The 24,357-nt window shown below is 37.4% G+C and overlaps 1 protein-coding gene across 1 annotated transcript; it reads left to right on the top strand.

The window, feature by feature from the left end:
- Positions 1-6,194: 6,194 nt before the first annotated feature.
- KRTAP24-1 (keratin associated protein 24-1) lies at positions 6,195-7,836 on the top strand. Its single transcript, NM_001085455.3, has one exon. It carries the CDS (start codon positions 6,213-6,215, stop codon positions 6,975-6,977), a length of 765 nt encoding a protein of 254 aa, NP_001078924.1. The 5' UTR covers positions 6,195-6,212; the 3' UTR covers positions 6,978-7,836.
- Positions 7,837-24,357: the final 16,521 nt, after the last annotated feature.

Raw genomic sequence — 24,357 nt, 5'->3', positions numbered from 1 at the left:
AGAAATTTTATCTTTAGGTTGAAGAATTGTTCTTAGGCTGATGGACCATTGTGTTTATAGTTCAGGTGCTGTTTTAACCTGTACCATTTTACTTGATCAAATTCTAAGAGATTGTAATTGTTTCTTCACTAGAAAATTTTCACTGCCAGCGATTCTTGATTTCTATGCCAATAATATGTCCTTGAATAGGAAGACAAGTTTTCATGGTTATTTATAAGTAAACTGTCTTCAAATTATATAGAAAAGAGTATCTTTTGGTTCTTCATTATCTTCAATGAAGTTAAGGACTGTTAGTTTCACTAAACAAATATAATGAAAAGAAAGAAAATAAAGAGTATCTGAAAAACGCAGGCAAGATAGATCCTTTCAAGAATCTGATTGCATGTGTCCTACTACTTAAACATTAAATATGCACCTGTATTTTCTAACAGTTAAAAAGAGAATTATTTAGCCCAAATAGACTACATTTTGCCTTAGCAACCAACAACTTCAAAATTCCAGATGCTTAAAATTGGAATGGTCTACTTATCACCCCTACTACACATTCATTGTTTCAGCTCCCAAATCATTCTCATTCTGGGACCCAGGCATAGAGGATCTTCACTATCAGGAATAATGCCAGTAGAGGCAGAGAGAAAATAGCAAGGAAAATTAATTGCTCATCAGCCCTGCATATGTCTTCTAAATTACCATTGAACAGAACAAGTTACAATGCCCAGCCTGCCCCACAAGATTAAGCACAAAGGGGTTACATAAATTTTAGTTCTGTACAACGGACAGCACAATATTTTTTCCTCTTGAATGAAACTTAAGTCCTCCCCCCTTCCCTCCCGTGGATCCTTGCATAGAGAAAATTGTTATTACTTTGAACTTGTTTCTCTCTTATATGTATGTAACTAATTAATTCAGTTATTCCACCTACTCACTGGGAACTTGTTCTTCTTACAAGCAACTGCTCATATTCCAATAACTATTCCACCATATTGATCATCTTCAATGTACCGGGCATACCACTACATGATCAATAATCTCCCAATGCACGTATGAAAAGATACTATCATCCCCATTGTTACAGATAAGAAAATTCAAATAGGTCAAGAAACTTGCCAGAAGACCCACATAAGTTATAGTTCAAAGACTTTTCATTGTCTTTCATATTATCTCTATTTTTATTTATTCAGGTTTTGGCTAATCTAGAAGCCACTTGGAAGTTATCAATTACTTGGTGACCATAATCTTCAATTCTAGAATGACAAATCTAAACTTCAAATAAAAGTATTTCCTCTCTGCCACAGCCCCACCCAGCCTTTCTCTCTAGCTGGACTAACTTTAATGGTGTGTACCTTTATGGAGTATGCCCTCTCTGGGATCCTTATTTCCCATATAAATGGTGGTAAATGCCTTCAACTTATTCAATTCCTCCAAATTTAATTTCTAAGATCAACATATAATTTATACACATCATAGCAAGTTACCTAGCCTAAAACAGCCTATTCTGGCATGTTCTTTCCTTCCTTTTTCCTTCCTTCCTTCCTTTCTTCCTTCTTTCCTCTCTCTTTCCTTCCATTTTTCCTCCCTCCCTCCTTCCTTCTTCCTCTCCCTTCCTTCTTCCCTCCCTCCATCCCTTCCTTTCTTGCTTCCTTCCTTCTTTATTTTTTCTTTCTTCTTGCTTTTGATGTACACATACAAAATGCAGTAAGTTTTAGATGAGATCCAATGACAATAAAAAATAATAATACTAACAAATATTATAGGCTGATGATAATGATAAAGGTTAACATCAAAACATCAGCTACACAAAACTATATTTCCTATGCTGTGCTTGACCAACTCTCACACCCACCTATTGAGCAAATACTACTATTAGTAGTATTTATTTAATTTAATAAATACAGCCACCTATGGAGCAAATACTACTATTAATTCTCACAGCTACCTATTTAATTCTCATAGCCACCTGTGGAGCAAATACTACTATTAGCTTTATTTTGAAGAGGTGGAAATTAAGTTACAGAAACACGTGGTAGTCAAACTGAGCATCAGAAACAGGATTAGAGTCCAGGGAATTTGAGCATTGAGCCTTTATTGCTAGCAATACATATACGGCTTCCAGGAACTAGCTAATGATATATGACACTGAAGGATTTGAGTTATACAAGAGGAGTCATTAGTAGCCTGTTGTCAAGCAAGTCATTTTTCTTAACTACACAAGGTAGAATTGTTCATTTTTAGCATTTACTTTTAAAGGACACAATGATTATTGTAGGACTATGTGTTTACAACATCAAAGTAAATTGCAAATAATATTTTTTAGTCTAATTGGTGACCGGAATTCCCTAAAGTGGAGCATTAGAAAATTAGAAAGAAAAGATTTAATTTGCATCTACTATGTCCATTGCACTTTTCTAGGTATTTTCATATTTATTATCTCATTGCATCTGCAGGAAAGTCCTGCAAAGTACATGCTATTAGCTCCAGTTTTATTTAAGATACTGATGTACTGAGAGAGAACAATTTTCCAAGGTACATGCTAATAAATACATTTAAATGGTAGTCAGCAAGACAGTAATGCATAACTCAGTAGGGCACAGTCCTGACAGTTCCATTTAAAAATGTTTAACTTTTACTACAGTTGTATTTCATTACATGTATACCATGTTTCCCTGAATTTAAGCATGAAAATTCCTCTTTCCACCCATTTGTGCTATCATTTTTTAAAGGCTTTACCTTCATTTATTTCTGTTTCTTAAAATTTTTTATATTTCTCATCTGTTCTTCAGCTTCTTAAACCACTAACGATCTATTAAGCCAACAATGTAAATGCTGCATTACATTTACAGCAATATAAATGCTACTTGTAAACAGCAAGTAACCAATATTTTAGGTTACCAATGCTAAATGTAAGAATCATTTTGACTCAATATTTGCAATTCAATTGTTATTTAAGTATGGATTCACAAACATTTTGCTTTTTCAGTCATAAGATCAGTTTTGCCTAATTTAACACCATCTTGGCAAGTGGAAAAATACATTACTGCATATATAGTAGCAAAAGGGAATATAAAATTTTGTTTGACCTAAAAGACTAGAAAAGTGTCCTCTATTACTTTTTTTAAGGGCCATTTACTGGAAAATTTAGCTTTATTTGATCTTCTGTTTACCCTAAAGGATTTTTAACCTTTGGATAAAACTGGGAAAGAATTCCACAACTCTTTTTTAATGAGGAAAGGAGTCTGCTGGCTCATTAGATACAGGAAGTTTGTTGCGTATTCCACAGACAGTATTGGTATCTCTCTGAATTATCTGATAGCTAGGAAGCTCATTCCTTACATCTTAAACTTTCCCTGAATACAGAGTGCAAACTTCTCAAACTACATAAGGACTATCTATTATATTTTCCTACACTTTTCTGGCATAGTGTATTTATTTCCTGTGACAGCTGTAACAACTTACCACAAACTCAATGGAAAGGCATAAAACAACAAAAGTGTATTTTCTTACAGTTCTAGAGGCTACAGTTCAAAAGCTGCTTCGCTGACCCAAAGTGAAGTTATCAACAGTGCTGATTCCTCCTGGAATCCCCAGGGAGAAATACATTCCCTACCTTTTTTGGATTATAACGATTGCTGACATTCCTTAGCTTGTGGCCACATCATTCCAAACTCTGTTTCCATCCTCATATTGTCTGGAAATTACATCAGGCCCACCCAGATAATCCACTTCAAGATCCTTAATTTAATCACACCTGCACAGTCCCTTTTTGCCGTGTCACGTAGCATTCACAGATTTCCCAGTACTGGAATGTGACCCTCTTGGGTGGGTGCATTATTCGGACTTCCGCACACAACAAATACTAATAACAGGGGAATTAATGGAAGAAAACATTATTTTAGGAGTTAAGTGAAAACAGAGAAATGCATATGACTCTCCAAAGCCTTCAGACCACGATGCCACTCAAACGACAATGGTCTTTATTTTCTACTCAAGCCTGCCATCGCTATGAACCTGATATTTGCTATATTTCTGATGCGGTGTGCTCCATCTCTTTCAAAGGTTGAGATTAGAGTAGGACACAATTGTGCAGAGGAATCATGTACAGAAAATGATGGTGTGAATGGGATGGGATGTTGTTTCTACAGGTGTGTGATGTTCTGAGTAAGGAAGGAGAGGAAACACAAAAGCAAATGAGAGGAAATGAGCTAGGGTTCCTTTCTCAAATCTCATTGTTTATTTGTTTAGAATATTATCATAGCAAAATCAATTTAAATATGTTCTAATGGCTCATGCTTTGAATATTGGTCATGCCATATGATGTTCCACATTATTTTTTAGACTTACACCTGTGTGAATCAAATTAATTCAAAATACCTCACTATTTAATTTTAAGATGGAAGGGAAGAATGTGAGCTTTACAGTAACTGACTTAACTCATTCTGTGTTTGTTAATGGTGTTAGCCCTCAAACCTGCTTCAAGGATGCCTAAGAAAAAAAGACTAGAGGCAACAATGATACAATAGAGAACTGTAGAAATAAAGCTTCATCAACCTGTGGCTTTTCTGTGTATCACTGGGGCTCAGTAACTTAGCGGAAAGTTGGCCGTCAACTAACTGCCCATGTATCTTCTTTCCTATTTTGCCTGCCTCAGGACTAACATTTTCCGCACAAAATCCCAAGGCTCTCTATAGCCAAACAATTTACTGGAAATACAGTTTCATGATTGTGGCCTTTGTCACCTGAGAGATACTGCAGAAGGCAGCAAAACATGTTTAATACAGAATTGCTTATTGTCAACTTACAGAACAAATACTGAGAAAAGCACTGAGAAAATGGAGATCTTTTTTAAAAAAAAGAGAATATCTGTAGGTTTAAATTGCTGTGCATTTGAAAAATCTGACTGAAAAGTAACCGAAAACAGTGAGAGAAATCTCATAGTTTGCTATAAAGAGAGTTAATTTAAAAAACTATCCCTATAGCTGATTATACCTGAAGAAGACTGTTCTATTCTCTGTCTGAACTCTTCACAGTTAATAAATGCATTGCTGTTTCCAATTCAATAGAGGCTGGAATTATAAATTATAATTTTATATTTGAAGAACAAAATTTCAGTTCTTCAGTATAAATTAAAATCTTTAAAAAAATTCTTTAGCCTTCACCCTGAGTAGTAAAAAGTGCTATTTCATATATACAGTGCTTGTAAGAACTATACAGTTTATTCAGATAAAACTTTTAAAGAGTTATTTCCTTTCATTGACATAAACTAAAAATAACTGCATTTTTCAACACAGGAGTAAAATAAAGTGTAGGTGCAAAAGAAAGCAAATAAAGAATAAGAGAACTTATTTGGGGAAAAACGGGGAAAATATTTACATCTGACAGCAATTGGGGTTTACAGCAGGCAATGGAACATGTGATATGTAATCTTAGTCAATTAGGAAGGTATCATCTTGCAAAGCTGGGTTTATTTGATAGTGCATATTGCCGACACTCTTTAAGAAGGGATTTAACAGAAGTCTTGGTTGCTTAGCAACAAATGCCCCCTGGGAACAAGTTCATTTTTAGCCAGGTGTTGGTCACCAAGTTTCCCAAGTATTGCTGTGAGTCTTACCTATGAACTTCTCCTAATACATTACATGAGAAGCCGTTACCAGTATATGGCCCTGCACAGGTAAGAGTATAGCACATATTTGGAAAACTGATTCTTGAAAGGTCAATGCCTGCTTTTGAGTAACCATGTTGAGACAGACAAACTACTTGACTTATTTCAGAGTATATGATTAAGTCCTTCAGTGTTTTCCAGTAGTTAACAGCGTGGAAAAATACAGGTTACTTGCTTTACTTGAGTCCTTGTGAACCTTTAAATAACCATGTTGCAGAAGCCCATAGACCCATGAACTCTTGTTAACCTCTGATTGACAGATGAGAGTTTGCCTATTAACATGAAAATCACTATTTGCTGAAGGTATGGTCTACAGATGATGAGTGATGGGTGATGGTCAAAGTGGTGATTATGGATACTTTGAAGAATTAAAATAAACTTATTTTTACACGTGTGAAAACATTAGCCTCTGTGGCTAACCAACACACTAATGAGATGTTGCTGTGTTATTGCCCCAAGCAGACAGAAGAAAGAGTCTGGAGAGGCTTTTGACAATCACCAGGGAAGGTATAAAACGTCCTTAGGCCACAGACACACTGCACAGCGACCACTGAGCATGCCTGCAGGCTCCATGTCTACTACAGGCTATCCTGGGGTCTGCAGTACCACATCATACAGAACTCACTGTTATATCCCAGTGACCTCTTCTGTTACTCTTAGCTCCAGTGATTTAAGCCCTACCTTTGGACACTGCTTACCCAGTAGCTACCAAGGAAATCTCTGGCTCCTGGATTACTGCCAAGAATCCTACGGTGAAGCACCAACCTGCAAATCTCCCAGCTGTGAGCCCAAGACCTGCAGTACCACTGGTTGTGACCCGTCAAACTCCTCTGTGCCCTGCAACTCCCCATCAGCAGGCCAAGTCTTCAGTGTCTGTGAAACTACCAACGTCAGCCCCAGCCCCAGCTGCAGCCCAAGCACCCAGACCAATGGGTATGTATGCAATTGCCACATACCCACTCGAAATGCATCCAAAGCCTGCCAAACCCTCCGCAACGGTTCCAACTGCTTTGGACAACTTAACTGCTTATCCAAGAGTTTCCAAACTCTAAACCACTGCAGATTGAGTACTTTGGGGTATAAAAGCTACCAAAATCCTTGCTTCATACCCAGCTACGTCTCACCATTATGTTATATTTCCAACAGCTGCCAACCCCAAAGCTATTTAGTGAGAAATTATCACTATTCAAGCTACAGGCCTACGAGCTGCCGACCACTGAGCTATTTATCTAGAAGCTTCAGATCTCTGAGCTATATACCCAGTACCTTTCCACCTCTGAGGTATTTGTGCAGTGGTAGCAGACCTCTGAAATGCTATTGACCAACTTCCAGAATTTATAGCAGCTGGAAATTGCCCAATGGGGAAGATTCTACTAAGTACTAGAACGTCTAATTTTCTGCTGAATCTCTTTATTCAGCCTAAGAATCTTGTTACATTAAGTTCAAATACAACTCCCAGGTTTATTAACCACAGCCAGTATCACCTGCTAGGTTTTCTTTTTTCTGTTGTTCTGTTATTGCTCTTTGTACTAAAAGCTGACCCTGAAGGTAACATCATTATTTCTGAGATTTATTACAATGGACTTACCGAAGAGACTCCATTTGAAATACAACCATCACCGGCTTTCTTACTTTGGCTGTCACTGTCACTTGTCTGACAGTGTGATTATCACCTACCTTTCCTGATGAAATGGGGCCTCCATGGTTTGACTGCAGATTCCAGCATGCAAATTCATTCGGATGGCTTTGATTGTCATTAATATTTTTGTCAACTACCTAACTAGCACCTTGCTAATAAGCCGATAGAAAACACTATCTTGAGCATAATAAGTTGAACTATTTCATCCTTTTCTTACTGATTGATTGTAAGAACAGGCAAATAGCAATGGTGACTAGAGCTCAAAAATAGAAGACTTCAGCAAATCTTCTCTTCCAGAGAAGCCATAAAACAAGATTCACTGGTACTCAGCTTTTGTTCTCCATGCCTAAGAAAAAGCCTCAGAATTAGCTAAAGCATGAAAATTATTTGTTGAAAGAAGAACAAATACTGTTAGAGACCCTTTACAATTATGTGTAATCTGCGTTTAGGATTCTCCTATCATCTTGCCTTGCCAATTTATTGCATTCTGACTCTGGAAAATGTCCTAGTTCTTAGTTAATAAACAAATTTCTGTCTGGAAGTAATGGCTTTCCTTATGCTTTATTTCACATTTACTAAAATTTCATCCATATTCTGGGCAATATACATAGCATTGTCAAAATGCTGCTTTCCTGCCATTTAGTTTAGAGTCTAAATTAAAGATACAAAGAAGGGGCCAGATGCGGTGGCTCATGCCTGTAATCCAAGCACTTTGGGAGGCCAAGGCAGGTGTATGACCTAAGGTCAGGAGTTCGAGACCAGCCTGACCAACATGGTGAAACCCCGTCTCTACTAAATACAAAAAAAAATTAGCCGGGCGTGGTGGTATATGCCTGTAATCCCAGCTACTTGGGAAGCTGAGGAGGTAGAATCTCTTGAACCCGGGAGGCGGAGGTTGCAATGAGTCGAGATTGTGCCACTGCACCGCAGCCTGGGTTACAAGAGTGAAACTCAGTCTCAAAAAAAAAAAAAAAAAGTAGAATATGGAATCACAAGCTTCTGACTTGTTTTTTTCTGTTTTTAACATGTTATGTTTATCTCACCTAGAATGTCTACATTAATATTGATATACAGAAATTTGGAAACATAAATCAATTTAATAAAGAGTACATAGAGTATTAAACATACGTTTATTTCTCAGCACAGTATGTGTATTTATTGGTTTTGTAGATAAGGTTTCAGCAGTTAAATAAATTTAATATTGAACCTCCTAGAAGTCATTTAACCTCTGTAAGTTATTACCCAAAAAATGAAAATAAAATCATCTATTTGAGTGGTGAAAACAACATGATAAATACCCTAAGCATTTTTGTAAATAAAAAGCAAATCATATTTAAAGAAAAATAAAATGATCCCCAGAGATGGGTGTAACTGAAGTCTGGAAAGATGGGGAAGAAACCCCAATATCAAGAGTCAATGTTTAAAATTAAAACTCACGAAGCATATAAATAGAGCTAATATGTCATTCATTCCTTCAGTAGGACTACTGTGTGTACAAAGGGCTTTAGAAGAAATATTAATGCACTGCTTCTGCTTGAATGAGGCTGGGAATAATCAAGTCACTCCTGTGTGAGTTCGTTCAATTTTCAGAGAATTCTATTTGCTGAAAATTTCTTCTTCGTATTGAGAAAAATACTGTATAGTTGCCCTTAGCAATGATCTATTGACCATATAGGACCACTTCAATTCCTTTAACCTAGGATAGGTGTTCAAGTATTTGGAAATAATTACTGTGTGTCCCAGATGAGCATTCAGTTGTCCAAACTAAACATACATTTTTTTTTCTCTTTACAAAAGTTAATGGTAAACTTATTCTTTGAGACACTGAGTAGGACTCTTTGGGGATATCAAGATTTATAGATCTTGTTCTCAAGAACTATTTGGAAGAATAATATACTGAAACAAGCATAATACTGTCTTGACTAGTTTAAGTACAATATAAAAACTTCCGGAGAAGAAAAGAAAATCACCTTTTTTTTTTTTTTTTTTGCAAGACTCTCTGGCAGGCAAGAAGATTGCTCCTAACCTGAAGAACAAAAGAACACTCAGGGGAAGAAATGGCATGGAAGTGACATCTGAATGGTGAGGTAACTAGGGTATGAGTACTCAATGGAAAAAAATGTGTGAGGTGACAGGCAAATTTGAAAAGAGGTGTAGTTAAATTTAAGTAGAAAAAAGAACGCCTAAAATAAAAAAGGGAAAATATAAGACATTACCTTAAAGACCTTAGATAGGAAAGATTTTTTTCAAGTAAGTACAAACAAACAAATAAACAATACTTGTAAAATAAAAGATTAGCAAATATGGCTACATCAAAATGAAAAGCTCCTGGTAATATGAGATATCACAAAGAAATTAAAAATAAAGCAAGAGCATGTGTAAGGATGGGGGGATGATAATGCCTACCAGAACGCCATGTACTTTCCGCTCAATGTTTCTGTAAATATTAACCCTACGGAAATAGTCTATTAACGAAAAAATCAACCTAGCAACAAAACATAGAAAAAAAAAAAACCAGATTTAGAGAAAATATATACAACATGTACCATAAATACTATCCAAAATATTTAAGAACTCCTACAAATTAAAAGACTATCCTGACCAACATGGTGAAACCCTGTCTCTACTAAAAATACAAAAATTAGCTGGGTGTGGTGGTGCACGCCTGTAGTCCCAGCTACTCAGGAGGCTGAGGCAGGAGAATTGCTTGAACCTGGGAGGCAGAGGTTGCAGTGAGCTGAGATCGTGCCACTGCACTCCAGCCTGGTGACAGAGTAAGACTCCGTCTCAAAAAAATAAAAATAAAAAAAGAAAGAACAAATGACTCAATAGAAAATAAGCAAAGTATATAAGCAATTACTAACAAAGAAAATACGATTTAATAAAAATATTAAAAAGTGTTCAACCTTAGTAATAGGTAATTATAACCTACAAAATATTATTTGTAATCATCCATTTGGCAAACTTTTTTAAAGTTAATCATGTGGCAACTTAAAAATATATTCTCACATACTGCAGATGGAAATGGAATTTAACAGCCACTATATATGTGAATATTTAAAATACCCACACTTTATGACAAGGTAAATTCACTTCTCAAAGTCCCTTCTACCTAAACATCCTTTCACGTTCTACAATATTCACCTCAGCACCACCTGGACGCTGAAAAATTGAGAACAATGAAAAAGTTCATCAGTTGGAGACTATAAATTATAATATAGTCATATGAATAAATATTTTACAACAGATAAAAAGGATGGAATAGATCCATATGAATTAATATGACAAAAAGTTATAAAATTAATAAATACGATCTATAAAATTATGTAGACTGGCATATTTTATGTATAACCACTTGCAAATAAACAAACATTTCTTTATGTAATATACATTTGTATATTATAGTGTGTATGTGCGTGTGTACATATACAGAGAGAGAGAATAAAAAGCTTTACAAAAACACAGCCTACACAAAAATTGTTAGCTTTGGAGAAGTCTTGGAAATGAGGATTGGATATTCTGTTTTTCTTTTTTAATATACTTTAAGTTCTGGGGTGCATGTGCAGAACGTGCAGGTTTGTTACATAACCATACACGTGCCATGGTGGTTTGCTGCACCCATCAACCCGTCACCTACATTAGGTATTTCTCCTAATGCTATCCCTCCCCAAGACTCCCACCCACCGACAGGCCCAGGTGTGTGATGTTCCCCTCCCTGTGTCCATGTGTTCTCATTGTTCTAGTCCTATTTATGAGTGAGAACATGAGGTGTTTGATTTTCTGTTCTTGTGTTAGTTTGCTGAGAATGATGGTTTCCAGCTTCATCCATGTCCCTGCAAAAGGCATGAATTCATCTTTTTTATGGCTGCAGAGTGTTCCATGGTGTATATGTGCTACGTTTTCTTTATCCAGTCTATCATTGATAGACATTTGGCTTGGTTCCAAGTCTTTCCTATTGTGAATAGTGCCACAATAAACATACGTGTGCATGTGTCTTTATAGTAGAATGATTTATAATCCTTGGGGTGCATACCCAGTAATCGGATTACTGGGTCAAATGGTATTTCTAGTTCTAGATTCTTAAAGTGATTTTTAGACTTAACAATTATGCTTTGATGAGCAAGTAATTTTTAAAATTTAGAAAAATAGAAGTACTGAGAAATAAAGATGGCCCCATCCTAAGAATTGCTAGAGTCAACGACATTCTCCAAACTACTATTAATAAAAACATTGAATAGCAAAATGAAATAGGCATCAGTCCTGTATAGCACATTGCCTTCTAGAAAGCCATAGGATGTGAGGATTCATATGTTTTGTCTGATTCAATTTTAGTTAAATTTTATTTAGGCAAAGAATATCGCTAGTAAACAACATACTATGTCCATTGCTCCAGTGACAAGAAATCAGCCGAGATCCTTTAAATGTGTGTTTAAAAATACACAATTTAAACTTCTTTTCCCATAAATTTCACTGCATAGTAGATCAAATTTTTCTGCCTCCTAAATAAAAGATAACAACCTAATTTTCATTTGTTTTGCAAGAAATAAACGCTGATTATAAACTGAAGTATCACTTTTCACAGCTGTAAACATTTTACAAATCCAAATATGAGCTATAAGGAGCTATGAGCATCCAGGTGTTTCTTAGGCATACCCCCTCACTTTTATAGACAACAGAGAAAGAAGTACAAGAAAACACAATACATATGCACCTTCTGTCCCAAATGTATGAATCAAGCAAAACTCTACCCTAGAATTTATTTAATGCACAATCTACTTAACCATGAAAATCTGTTTTAATGTATATACAAGACAGTTTATGTTTCGATGACTAACAATTTATAATATAGTTTAAAGAGTTGACAAAGCTACTACATTTGGCGTGCTATGAAAAGCATTAATATATAGCATAATTTTCATATTTATTTCTGCCTGCTATCTTGAAACTGTATTACTGACCACTATCTTTCTGAACCCTTCTTTCATAGAATGTATTTTCTGATGGGTGTATTAAGCCTACATATTTTCTAAGTCCAGTGAAACATTTTTGTTCCATTACATTTGGTTTTTCTGTTTGTTCATTAGTTTGTTTGTTTGTTTTTTAGACAGACTCTTGCTCTGTTGCCCAGGCTGGAGTGCAGCGGCATGATCTTGGCTCACTGCAACCTCTGCCTCCCAGGTTCAAGCAATTCTCCTGCCTCAGCCTCCTGAGTAGCTGGGATTACAGGCACACACCACCACGCCTGGCTAATTTTTATAGTTTTAGTAGAGATGGGGTTTTGCATGTTGGCCAGGCTGTCGAACTCCTGACCTGAAGTGATCCGCCTTCCTCAGCCTCCTAAGGTGCTTGGATTACAGGCCCGAGTCACCGTGCCCTGCCTCCATTGAGTTTCTTAATTTTTTTTTCTTTGAGTTCACCACAAGCTGCCTATCAAATTTCTCATCATACAGTTAGTGTGCTACATGCGATTCACTAAAGGAAAAGGGTTTCCACTTACCAGGAGGCCCTTAATGAGCAGAGGTTTCACATGACAGTTCAATTAACCATACTGCCACTCCCAACATTATGAGAGAATATTCCAAGATCATGGAACTCTATCCATAACCCCCAATACTGTACTGTCCATGCTAAAATTTCCACTTATATCAGTGCTGGCTGGAATCATGGTTTCTAGATTACTGCAGAATTAGAATCAGAAGCAAACTGAATTCTTGATCAGATGTGCATAGGTGTTGTCTCAGAGCTGATCTAATAAAATGTTTCCTGTCTTCAACTACTCATTATGCCCATGGTTCTTGTTCTTTCTGTCTGTGAGTTTAATCTGATTGACAGGACTCAGCGAGTCCCCAAGCTATCTATCTACAGTCAGGTGACTGAAAAATCAGAATAGCATTTGAAGCTCAGCTCTCACCTTTGTTTTCAGTGTCTTACAGTCTGGAGTCCAGAAAACTCTGGGCGATGCAATTGTTTACTGCCTCAAATTCCAGGGTCTCACATATTTAAAGGAAAAATTATTCAAAAGTGGAAAGTAATTTTCTTATTTTTTAAATCAAAAATATACAATCCCCAAATTTAAATTCAGATTCTGCTATTTAATGCAAAGAATTATGTTAAAGTTTCTTTATCTAAAGAATAAATATTCTCAATCTGGAATGGTTTCATTCAAAATAGAAAAAATAAAGATTTTAAGTCCAGAATTCTATCTTTCAGGCAACAACTATGATAATGACGATTATTATTGTCACAGTTGTGACTTCTTACGGTGAACCATTTTTTACCTGGAGTGAAGGCACTGAGGATGTATTACTACAGAGTCTAGTCTTTTTCATCAATTTGCAACTTTACTCAGTAATCTCTAATAAGTAGGAGTCGTTTCTGAGCTCTTTTCTCCCAGATTGGGGAAGATATTCAATTTCTATTTTGTGCTACAATAGCTGGTTGTAATATAAATCTTGAGTAATTTTGAGAAATATTTGGCGGCTGATAGACTCAAAGAAAAATACCAAGATACCAAGTGCTTCTTTCTTCATGTATTGTGTATGGCACCTTAATTCACATATCATGAGCAGAGCAGAGTGACTCATTGACCTTGAGTTGCAATCCCGACTATTCTACTTAACTTGTATGACATAAACCATCATTTAACCCTCTGGATTTTTATAGAGTGATGGACTTTCTGAGAATTAAATAAAGGAGAGTGTAAGATGCTCTGACACAGTGCCTAGGACTAGTGCTCAACAAATGACAAATGACAGTAATTTTGTTGTATTATAAAAAGGAAGAGGCCCTAAAATTCGCCAACTCTACAGCCTTTTTTTCTGTAGAGGATGTGATTGAGAACCACAATCCAAGGTTTTAGAGCTAGTTAGTTAGGAAGCTAGAGCCAGAATCTAAATTATTTTTGTTTTAGTAGTCTAGGGTATTAAAAGAGCTTTTTTCTCACTACTGTTTCCTATGAGGAATGACTTTCCCCTAAATGTCCTTCTGACCTCTCTCTAACCCTTTATTCACTCAGCCTCTGGAGAGATGAAGACATCTTTATGATTGATATATCCGAGAAGAATGTGCCTTTCATCCCTGACCCTCCCCTTCTTGGGAACCCTTCTTTATTCATGTACAAATTGCCCACGGGCTGTCCACTCCCACTACTTTCCCCATCTTAGGGAACTTCTCCTGGACCCATGCTACCCTGACATGGGTAACTCAGTCTGATTCTAGGGTTTAGTGTTGGCAAAGCCATTTGTTTTAACACACCTAGTTCTACTGTCAAAAATAAAGGTGACATATGTGTTCCCTGCCTGCAACTTTTTGCCATTTCAGAGTGTTCAGAACCCAGTTAGTAACAAAGAGTGGTTTCTCCGGACCCAAAACAGTGCCTCCTAAAATAGGTCACACTACCTATCATTTAAGGGAAGGTGGTTTAACAATAAGTAACTGGTAAATAACTAATTAATGAAGACTTGTATTGTAGGGGCACGACCAGTCTACATTTATCTGAAAAGGAGTTCATGGTGTAAAGTAAATCAGACGACATCACTCCACTCCATTATGGCTTTTTTCTATTGTTATCACACTTAGGATGCAAATTGAACTTGAAATGGAAGATATTTATTTGACAGAATGCAGACATACCCTTATTTTCCTTATTTTTTTAGTGTAATGTTATGAGGAGAAACAATAGATGATGAAACAAGAAGTATATAAGGGGAGTATAAATATTTCGGGCCCAAGAAAAATATTACAATCTTCCTACCTCTCAACATTGGTACTCCAAGATCAGATTGTGCCATCTACACTCCATTTGATGCCTTAAGTTAGGAAACTAAAGGAAAGATGCCAGGAACAATTTGTGCCCAGCATACATAATCTTTATTTTTTATTTTTTTAGAGACAGGACCTTGTTTTGTCTCCCAGGCCGGAGTGCAGTGTCACAATCATAGCTCACGGTAGCTTCAAAATCTTCGGCTTCAACAATCCTGCAGCCTCACCCCCTGAGTAGCTGTGACCACAGGTGTGCGCCACCACAATTGGCTAATTTTTGTTATTATTATTATTGTTATTATTATGCAGAGAAGGGGTCTATTTTGAAGAGCTGGTCTGGAACTTCTGGCCTCAATCAATCCTCCCATATTGGCCCCCTAAAGCACTGGTATTACAGGTGTGAGCCACTGTGCCTGGCCATAGGTAGCATTTCCCTCTGGGAAAGAACATTTTCCTGAAGTACTGAATTACATACATTTTCATTCCACAACACATAGAGCAAGAAGGCACATGAGAATGTCTCACATGGAGGCAATATCTACAAATTAAAATATTTAAGAACTGGTTCCAAACAGAACTAAAATTTGGGGGAAGAACCTTATAAAATTTAGAACTTGTACTCCTGATCTTGCCTGAATTCGAGGGAAATAGTCTAGAATAGGAATAAACAAGTAAATTTTCAAAGAAAAAGGTATAACTTTAGTCAAGAGTGCTCTTAATTTCCGGCTTGGAACACGTAGCATGGGCCACCGCCATCAACAAGAAGAGAGAAGGAAATGGGGTGGAGATAAAGAGGAATGGGAAAAGGAAGGTAAGGGAAAGCATGTAAAAGGAAAGGAAAGGGCAGGGAAGAGGATTGTTTAAACATTTTCCAGCAACTCCCCTTCCTGGCCTCATATGAGAATCATTGACTTGAAAACACATAACCTTGGCATCCCAATAAACTAGAAAGACCCTCAAACTGGAGATGAATTAATCTCATCCTGCCCCAGGCCTCCCCACCACGGTAAGTCACATCTGACTCTCTGAATTCCATCTCTTACAAACTCTTAATGTGGATGATGACTAATGTTTGAATTTCTACTAAAGCTAATGGGTTCTTTGAAGATTATCTTGGAATCAGATAAAGGCAATAACTATGCTAACTTTATGAATAATTGTGAATAGGTATGTGAGCTTATAGATGTGTATGAATACACATATATGTCTTTTCATCATGATTCTTAAACTTGTTATGTATATATCCAGAAGTCATAGTTCTACTATTTTTGAAAATACATATTTACTGCTTTTTTTCTATTTTAATTATTGGTTTAAGACATGGGCATAATTATCATAATAAAGAATGTTATCTCCATAACTTAGAAAACTGTTGATAAAGAAGAGAGAACTTAGCCAGCGTATTTTTTTTTCCTTTTTTTTCCTTGCCTCTCTTGAAAGATAGGTAATAGAGATTTTAAGTGTAACAGTGCAATCCAGCCAGAGGCATAGAACATCTACAGTTCTCTCTGCTTTTAGATAAAAAAAAACCATAGTAGTGTTATAAAATATTAATAGAAACATAATATAAAAGCACAAGTATTCCAGGGACCAGGTATGACAGCTCTATCTGATCAAGATAGTTGTGGTGGTTTTCAAGGAACATTTCTCTACTCATTCCAGAGAATGCATGAACTCATTAGTCTAAAAAGTACCTAACCAACCTGAATGTGAAGGCACAGTGAAGGTTTTCTCAACCACAGCCATACCGTGGCAGAAAAATTATTATACACAATTCCTGGAAGAGCTGGTCATGTTGGCTTGAGCCTGTAATCTCAGCTAATAGGGAGGCTGAGATGGGAGGATGGCTTCAGGCCAGGAGCTGAAGACCAGCCTGGGCAAAGTAGTAAGACTTCACTTCACCTCTAAAAATAAAAAAGAAAAGAATATAAAAATTAGCTGGGCATGATTATGTCTATAGTCCCAGCTGTTTGGAAAGCTGAGATGAGAGGATCACTTGAGCCCAGGAGTTTGAGGCTGCAGTGAGCTATAATTGCACCCCTCTGCACTCCAGCCCGGGCAACAGAACAAGACTGTCTCTAAAAATAAAAATTCAAAAAATATTCTGGGATACATATTTCCAGGAAGCACACACTGAAACAATAATTTTAGGTGATGATGGTTTAACCAGACACAAAACCAGCCCCAAATCCTTCTCTAATCTAAATTTAGGGCACAATTTTATTCTTCTGATTCCAGTGTAGGCTCACATTCTGTGGTAATCAAAAGCATAAGGGGACCTCAACCCCAGAGTCCCAAGCCCAGAAGTTCTGCTGTTTTCAGTGATTGCAAAACATCATTCCATGCCGTCAACATCTGTTTACCAAGTTATGAAACTTTATTCCATACATGAAACTTGGTGCATATTTATCATTATCTCCATGTAAACAGCTTCAGAAATAGCTATGCAACATATTCTAAAATAAACTGTTAAAGGCAGAGGGTTTTCATGATCACTACCAAATAGGGTTGAGGGTATCAGTGAACAAGGCTGTTAGAAACATCGTGTTGATTTTAGAAGTCTGTGTCCAATCGCAGGGATGCCCTATATATTTTGCTATCCTGAGACAGAACATGGGACCGAGAAAGCAATTTCCCGGATCATTTAAGTCTTTAAAATATAAAACCAATGAATTCTTGCAAGTGAACAGTCCTTCAACTTTTCTACATAAAATCTAAAGGCCATTTGGATAGTTGCCTGGTGGCCTGTGGGACCACATACATATTTGTGGGAAGTAGAGATGATGCCTGTCACTGCAGCCAAGTCAGGCAGATGACTGGAGACAAGAGACAGGGCACAGAGTCGTAAAAGGAGACTGGGCTTGGGAATAGGAGGTTATTCTCTAGTGCTGGTATTGTCACATTTTGTCTCTGGGCCTCAGATTCCCTACCAGAAAAAAAGAAGAGGTTGAATTTAATGAACACTTACACCTCTAAAATATGATGATTCTATCATTCTAGATATAAACTGTGCTTTTTTTTTGTTGTTGTTGTTGTTTTTGTTTTGTTTCTAGATAGAGTTTCACTCTTGTTGCCTAGGCTGGAGTGCAACGGTGCGATCTCGGGTCACCGCAACCTCAGCTTCCTGGGTTCAAGCGATTCTCCTGCCTCAGCCTCCCGAGTAGCTGGGATTACAGGCATGCGCCACCATGCCCAGCTAATTTTGTATTTTTAATAGAGATGGGGTTTCTCCATGTTGGTCAGGCTGGTCTCGAACTCCTGACCTCAGGTGATCCACCTGCCTCAGTCTCCCAAAGTGTTGGGATTACAGACATGAGCCAACACTCCTGGCCCCAACCTCTGTTAAAATTTTTTATGGTGTTTAACTATGCCTTCCTTCCGCATGTTCCCTTCCCAAAGTGTTTATCGAATCCATCCAAGCCCAGGCAATGACTTTTAAAGATACAGGCATATTTTTATTACATGTCACAAATAAGCCATTAAATCAGTAGAGATGCATTTAGTTTTGTTACACCTTAATTACTGAATTGCCAAGAGCTACCAATGGAAGCTTTATACCTAACTTACATATTTCCTCAAGACCCTGTGTTTGGGCTAATGCTAATTTATGTTTCAAAAGAAGAAAAACAGAGGAAGTGCCATAGGAGACCAGAATTTCCTCCATGAGTTAATTTTCGGAAGAGAAGCTGCAAACTGCAGTCATTTTAACTGAGAGACTCCACCCTTCTTGTAAAACACATGTACCTAAGTGTACTAGTAAAATCTGCCTGGACCCCGGGCCAGATCATTAAAGCTTTCAGTAGACACCAGGCCCCATGTCTGATGGAACTGATTTCACAACTAAAGACATTAAATATCATAATCAGGTAATAATAAGGTTCACCTTAACCTTGACCATTTAAACTCTACAATTATTAACCTTTTAAAAGAGTAACACAATAAAAAGTCTGACATATTTTTGCAAGCAACATATTAACTCCAGTTTGGTTGGGCTGGAATCTGACTATTTTCAACAGCTGATGAGAAAGCTTATCAAGTCATATATCCCCTCCTGATATGAAGATCCAGAGATAACATGTGTTTATTTCTACAGCCATAAAATAAAAGGAAAATGCAAACAAAGAAAGGAGAGGCACACTGATAGGTGAGATCATCATAATTAGAAACTCAAGGAATGCTGAAGATCAAAAGTTGATTTTAGCCGGGCACCAGAATATAACCTGATCACAGGGAGAGATAGTGGGCAATGGAAGACTCCACAAATGGATTATCATTAAAAACTACAATCTTTTACAGGCTCAGAAAAAGCAATGAGGATAATTTTTATTTAGTTTTTCAAACTGCTGAGTGAGTTTTATTATAGTTGCTAAATCAGTCTGAAGAATGGAATTTCAACATAAGGCAAGAACAAGCAGTTCTGTTTCCTTTGCCCCGTACCCCCAAACATCCTTTTTCTTTGTCTCATTCTCTCTCGTTATTCTTGTCTGGAGGCAACTTTAGTTGTAAAATAATGTAACTTAGAAACAATTTTAAAGAATGCATAAATAATTTAAGCTTATTTCTCAGAAACCAGTTCATATTGCCGGCTTTTGACCCTTGCCCTAATTGCAAAGATACTGTGCAATAAGTATGATGGTCAAGGGTTTTTGTTTGAGAACTTTCTTCTTTAACATTTTACTTCTAGAAGTGCTACTGAGCACCATCTGTTCACATGACTACTGATTTGATGAGTGGATGATGCTGACATGTTCTAGAACTGACTTGGATATTGAATGTTAGCTGTGGATCCAGAGTGGTTGGAGAAAGCCCATTTGGGAGTTTAACTTTTCCTAAATGTATATGGTATGCCTAGCATTGGGCAACTGCTCAGAGTCCACGCAGGAAAACAGAAACCAGGGCAATATAATATAGAGAATTGGTTAGGCATGTATTAGAGGACTGGAAATGCCAAGATGATGGGGATAGTAATTGCAGGAAGCAGCCTCACCCGTGAGATCTGGGACAAAGGGAAGAAGTCAGGGTTGCTAGAATCCAATAAGTGCTAGGGGAGTGAGACTGATCTCTGAAGAGAGGCACAGTTCAGACGGTGGAACAGGGGGACCCTGTGGAATGGTGAGCCAGACCTCTATGGAGGGGGCACTGCTGTTGGGGTGTGCTGGTCTCTGGTGGGAATTCAATGAGACTAGTTCTTCAAATCAGAAGGTGGGAGGGGGGAACTGGAACCAACTGCCATTGCCACAGTGACATTACAGAAACAGAAAGGCAAAGAAGGAACAGTTCCTTTCTCCTCCTGCCTGTTACTCTCTAGTGCCCCCTGTTGACAGAACATAACAAGTAACGTTTAAAACAGACCATACCTTCATAACCATCACAGACCGCATTTGTTCTTCTGAGCTAACTCTTAGAGTTTATGCTATATACTTGTCATTTTAGGCTACATCTATAAAAATCATAAGTGCATTTAATACGTAGTTGACCAGAAGACTGTTTTTTTTCTTAAAGAAGAAAATATTTTAGGTTTTTGCTTTAATTATGCCTCAAAGGTCCGTGGTATGAGTCACTATCCTATACCTATGTGAGCAAAGAAACTCTTGGGTGAGGTTTAGAATAGGCACACATTGTAATGAATCTCTCTCTAGTGAATTATAATATCATTTCAGTATAAAAGATGCCTATTTCAAAAGCAAGACGGGCCCATTATTAAAAGCAAACTAGGCCCGGCACAGTGGCTCACGCCTGTAATCCCAGCACTTTGGGAAGCTGAGGTGGGTGGATCACCTGAGGTAAGGATTTCGAGACCAGCCTGGCCAACATGATGAAACCCTGACTCTACTGAAAATACAAAAAATTAGCCGGGCCTGGTGGCGGGTGCCTGTAATCTCAGCTACTCGGGAGGCTGAGGCAGAAGAATCGCTTGAACCTGGGAGGCAAAGGTTGCAGTGAGCCAAGATCATGCCACTGCACTCCAGCCTGGGAAACAAGAACAAAACTCCACCTCAAAAAAAAAAAAAAAAAAAGCAAACTAATACACAAATAAAATATAGATAGCAAATCAGAATTACATGACCTAAAATTAGGTAGTACAGCCTTCATATCTTCTAAACTACCCTTGCATGTTTCTATAGGGCCTTCGACTTTTGCTACATAAAAATTGATCTGAATTTTTGTGTTAGGTTTGATGGCGATCCCAAATGTAACACTCCTTTCCCTCAGCAATTTTTGAACCAAATGAAAAATAGAATAAAAGAGTCAGCAAATAAGAGTAAACTGCTGTTTTTACTACTGAAATTACTTCTCACAGAGATAGGTGACTCTATATAAAGGTAAGAGGTGTTCCTGATATTAATTCCAGAATTAAATAGATTGAGCTGTTGCTATGGCCTGGATATTTATGTTCCCTCCAAAATTCATATGTTGAAATCCTAACCCCCAACTTGATGGTATTAGGAGATAGAGCATTTAGGAGATGATAATTAGGTCATGAGGGAGAAGCCGTCTATGAATGGGATTAATGCTCTTATAAAACAATCAGAGAGAACTGCCTTGCCCCTTCCACCGTGTGAAGATACAAAGAAGTTGGCAGTCTTCAACCAGGAAGCTGGCCCTCATCAGATACTGGGTCTGCCAGTGCCTTGGTTGTTTTCCAGACTCCAGAACTATAATAAATACACTTCTGTTATTGATAACCCACTCAATTTATGGTACTTCTGTTACAGCAGCCCAAATGGGCTAAGACATTCACCTAGAGACAGACGGTGCTAGACCACTGGAGTCCTAATCACGCTTAGGAGAGAAGTAGAGCAGAATAGAAGCTACCTGATGGGAAGGAAAGGAGGTGCTGATTAAGCATGCCTAATTCCATATCCAAGCCCATTGATCAGACAAGAAAACCTCCCTCTACCTGCCTAATGGACAGAGGGAGGTCAGAAACTTTTTCCTAGTGGTGTTCCCGCCACATGGACGTCAACACTGAGAGCTGAGACTTGGAGGTGGGGGTGTCATTCTCCACATTCTCTAACCCCACTGGTGATTAATGCCAGGGAAATAGTAAAGATATCTGTCTTGCCATCAAATTGTCAATGGCTAGATTATTGTCTGGCAATTAATAATCCCTTAATAGTCATTTGTTGAACAAGTTGAGTAGATCGATTCTTACTTTTATGGAAATGTATACATTTAGAAAACTTAAATTCAAATTCTGGTTTCGATACTAACTAGCAGTGTTACTTTGGGCAAGTAATTTAACGTCTCTAGTCCTCAATCACTTGTCTGTCATATGGCATGATAGGCCTTTATCTACAATTAATTCTGGGATGCATTCCAATTTCACAATTCTGTTACTCGTCTTCACATTAGTGGTTTGGATAATCTATGGCTGCTTTTGTAATCACAAAGTCTGTATCATAAACAAATGCTAAAATAAGTATGCTTGGTGGGTAGCCAGAAACGTACGGGCTGATTCTACGCATAGGGTTTTCCTTCATTTTCTATTCTCTTAGTATTTTATTTTTCATGAGAATAGTACAAGAGGTTAGAAAAGAGGACTTATTATCCTACATCCTGCCTTCCTAGGTGCCTTCTTTGACCTCTAGCATGAGCATTCAATGTCCAGCACAGTATTTTGGCACATCTATCAAATAATCAACATGAAATCCTTTACTTAAGTGTAATTTCTAAAGAAGTGGTTATAGGAGGCAGTGCTGATGAGCAGAAATAGCATTTTAAAAGATAGAAAACATCTGAGCTCTCCCCAAACCTTGTATTTCTATGTGGAAACTTATGGAAGTCATATTAACCCTCAGATACTCAGGTTTTACCATCATAAAATAGGAGGCTATAGTACCACTCTGTATTCTTTCACTTCCAACATTCAACAATTCAGACTAATGCACTGAAGAATACAGTATATTTTTATGGCTAAAATTTGCCCCCAGGTATGGCAGACTTCCACAGTTACTACTTGAGACTATCACTACGGCAGTTACTACTGTTACTACCTGAGACTGTCATTAGGAGACTGAACGAAGGAGGAAGAACATAGAAATGAAAGCTTCAGACAAAAGAAACTATTTTAAAGGAAGGGGCCAGGGGAAGAAGAAAAGGGCTCCCTTCTCCTAATGAGCAAAGGCAGCCGTGCTGAGCTTCTACAGCCCTTCGTATTTATTGAGTAGAAAGAGCAGGGAGGAGGAGGTAACAATTGGTCAGCTGCTTCATTGATCACAGGTTCACTTTATTGCTAACAGGCTTCAGATGTGCCTAATCACAAGAAACACTTGTGCCTGGGTCGTGGCAGCCCTTAGCATTCCTTCTGGGTGGCAGACCCAGTTTGTCAGTTTGCCAACATCCTGCTTTCATGAGAAACAGTTTGCTGTTTACTCATATGGCCTTCAGTGGTATACTGAGTTGATCATGACCCTCATTCGTTCGGCCTTCAACACCCAGGAATACACATTTTAAGACCTGAGATTTTGGTTTTCCTGATCTGGTAGGTAGATATAAATAAAAGACTGAAAGCACCACTATTGTTCAATATTTCTGGGAGTTAAATTTATTATTTTTTTTAATTTTAATTTTAAATTTTTGTAGCTACATGGTGTATATATTTATGGAGTACATGAAATGTTTTGATACAGGCATGCAATTCATAATAACCACATCATGGAGAATAGGATATCCATCCCTTTACATGTAATCTTATTATACTCTTTTAGTTATTTTAAAATATACAATTAAATTATTATTGACTACTGTCACCTGTTTTGCTATCAAATAGCAGGTCTTATTCATGCTTACTAATTATAACTATTACTAACTATAATGGGAGTTAAATTTATAGCGTCCATTTTAAGGTCAATTTGACATCAGTTGCTAAAATTTAGAATATGTAAACCTTGTGGGTTAGCTCTCCCACATCTAGGAGCGGTATAGAATAGTAAAGCATAAAGTCTCCAGGCAGAAGAGCCTGAGTTTGAATTGTAGGCCTACAAGCATGGGGCCTGAGATGCTACTTTCAGACTCTACATGTCAGTTTCCTCGTCTGTAAAATAGGGATTGCAATAAAACTCCATCAAGTGATGGTAAGGGCTAAATGAGACAATACGTATATTTTAAAGAGCTTAGAAATGTACCAGGAATAATGTAGCTACTTAGTGAAAGATAGCTATTACCACAGCTACTGTTATTACGGATTGAGCATCCCTCATCCAAAGTGCTTGGGACCAAAGGCATTCTGGATTTCAGATTTGTTCGGATCATGGAATATTTGCATTACAATGGTTCAGCATCCCAAATTTGAAAATCC

Source organism: Homo sapiens, chromosome 21 (genome assembly GCF_000001405.40).
Source record: "Homo sapiens chromosome 21, GRCh38.p14 Primary Assembly".
In the NCBI taxonomy this organism is placed as follows: Eukaryota; Metazoa; Chordata; class Mammalia; order Primates; family Hominidae; genus Homo; species Homo sapiens.
Note: the sequence above shows the minus strand (reverse complement) of the source record. Positions and strands in the feature narration are given on the sequence as shown.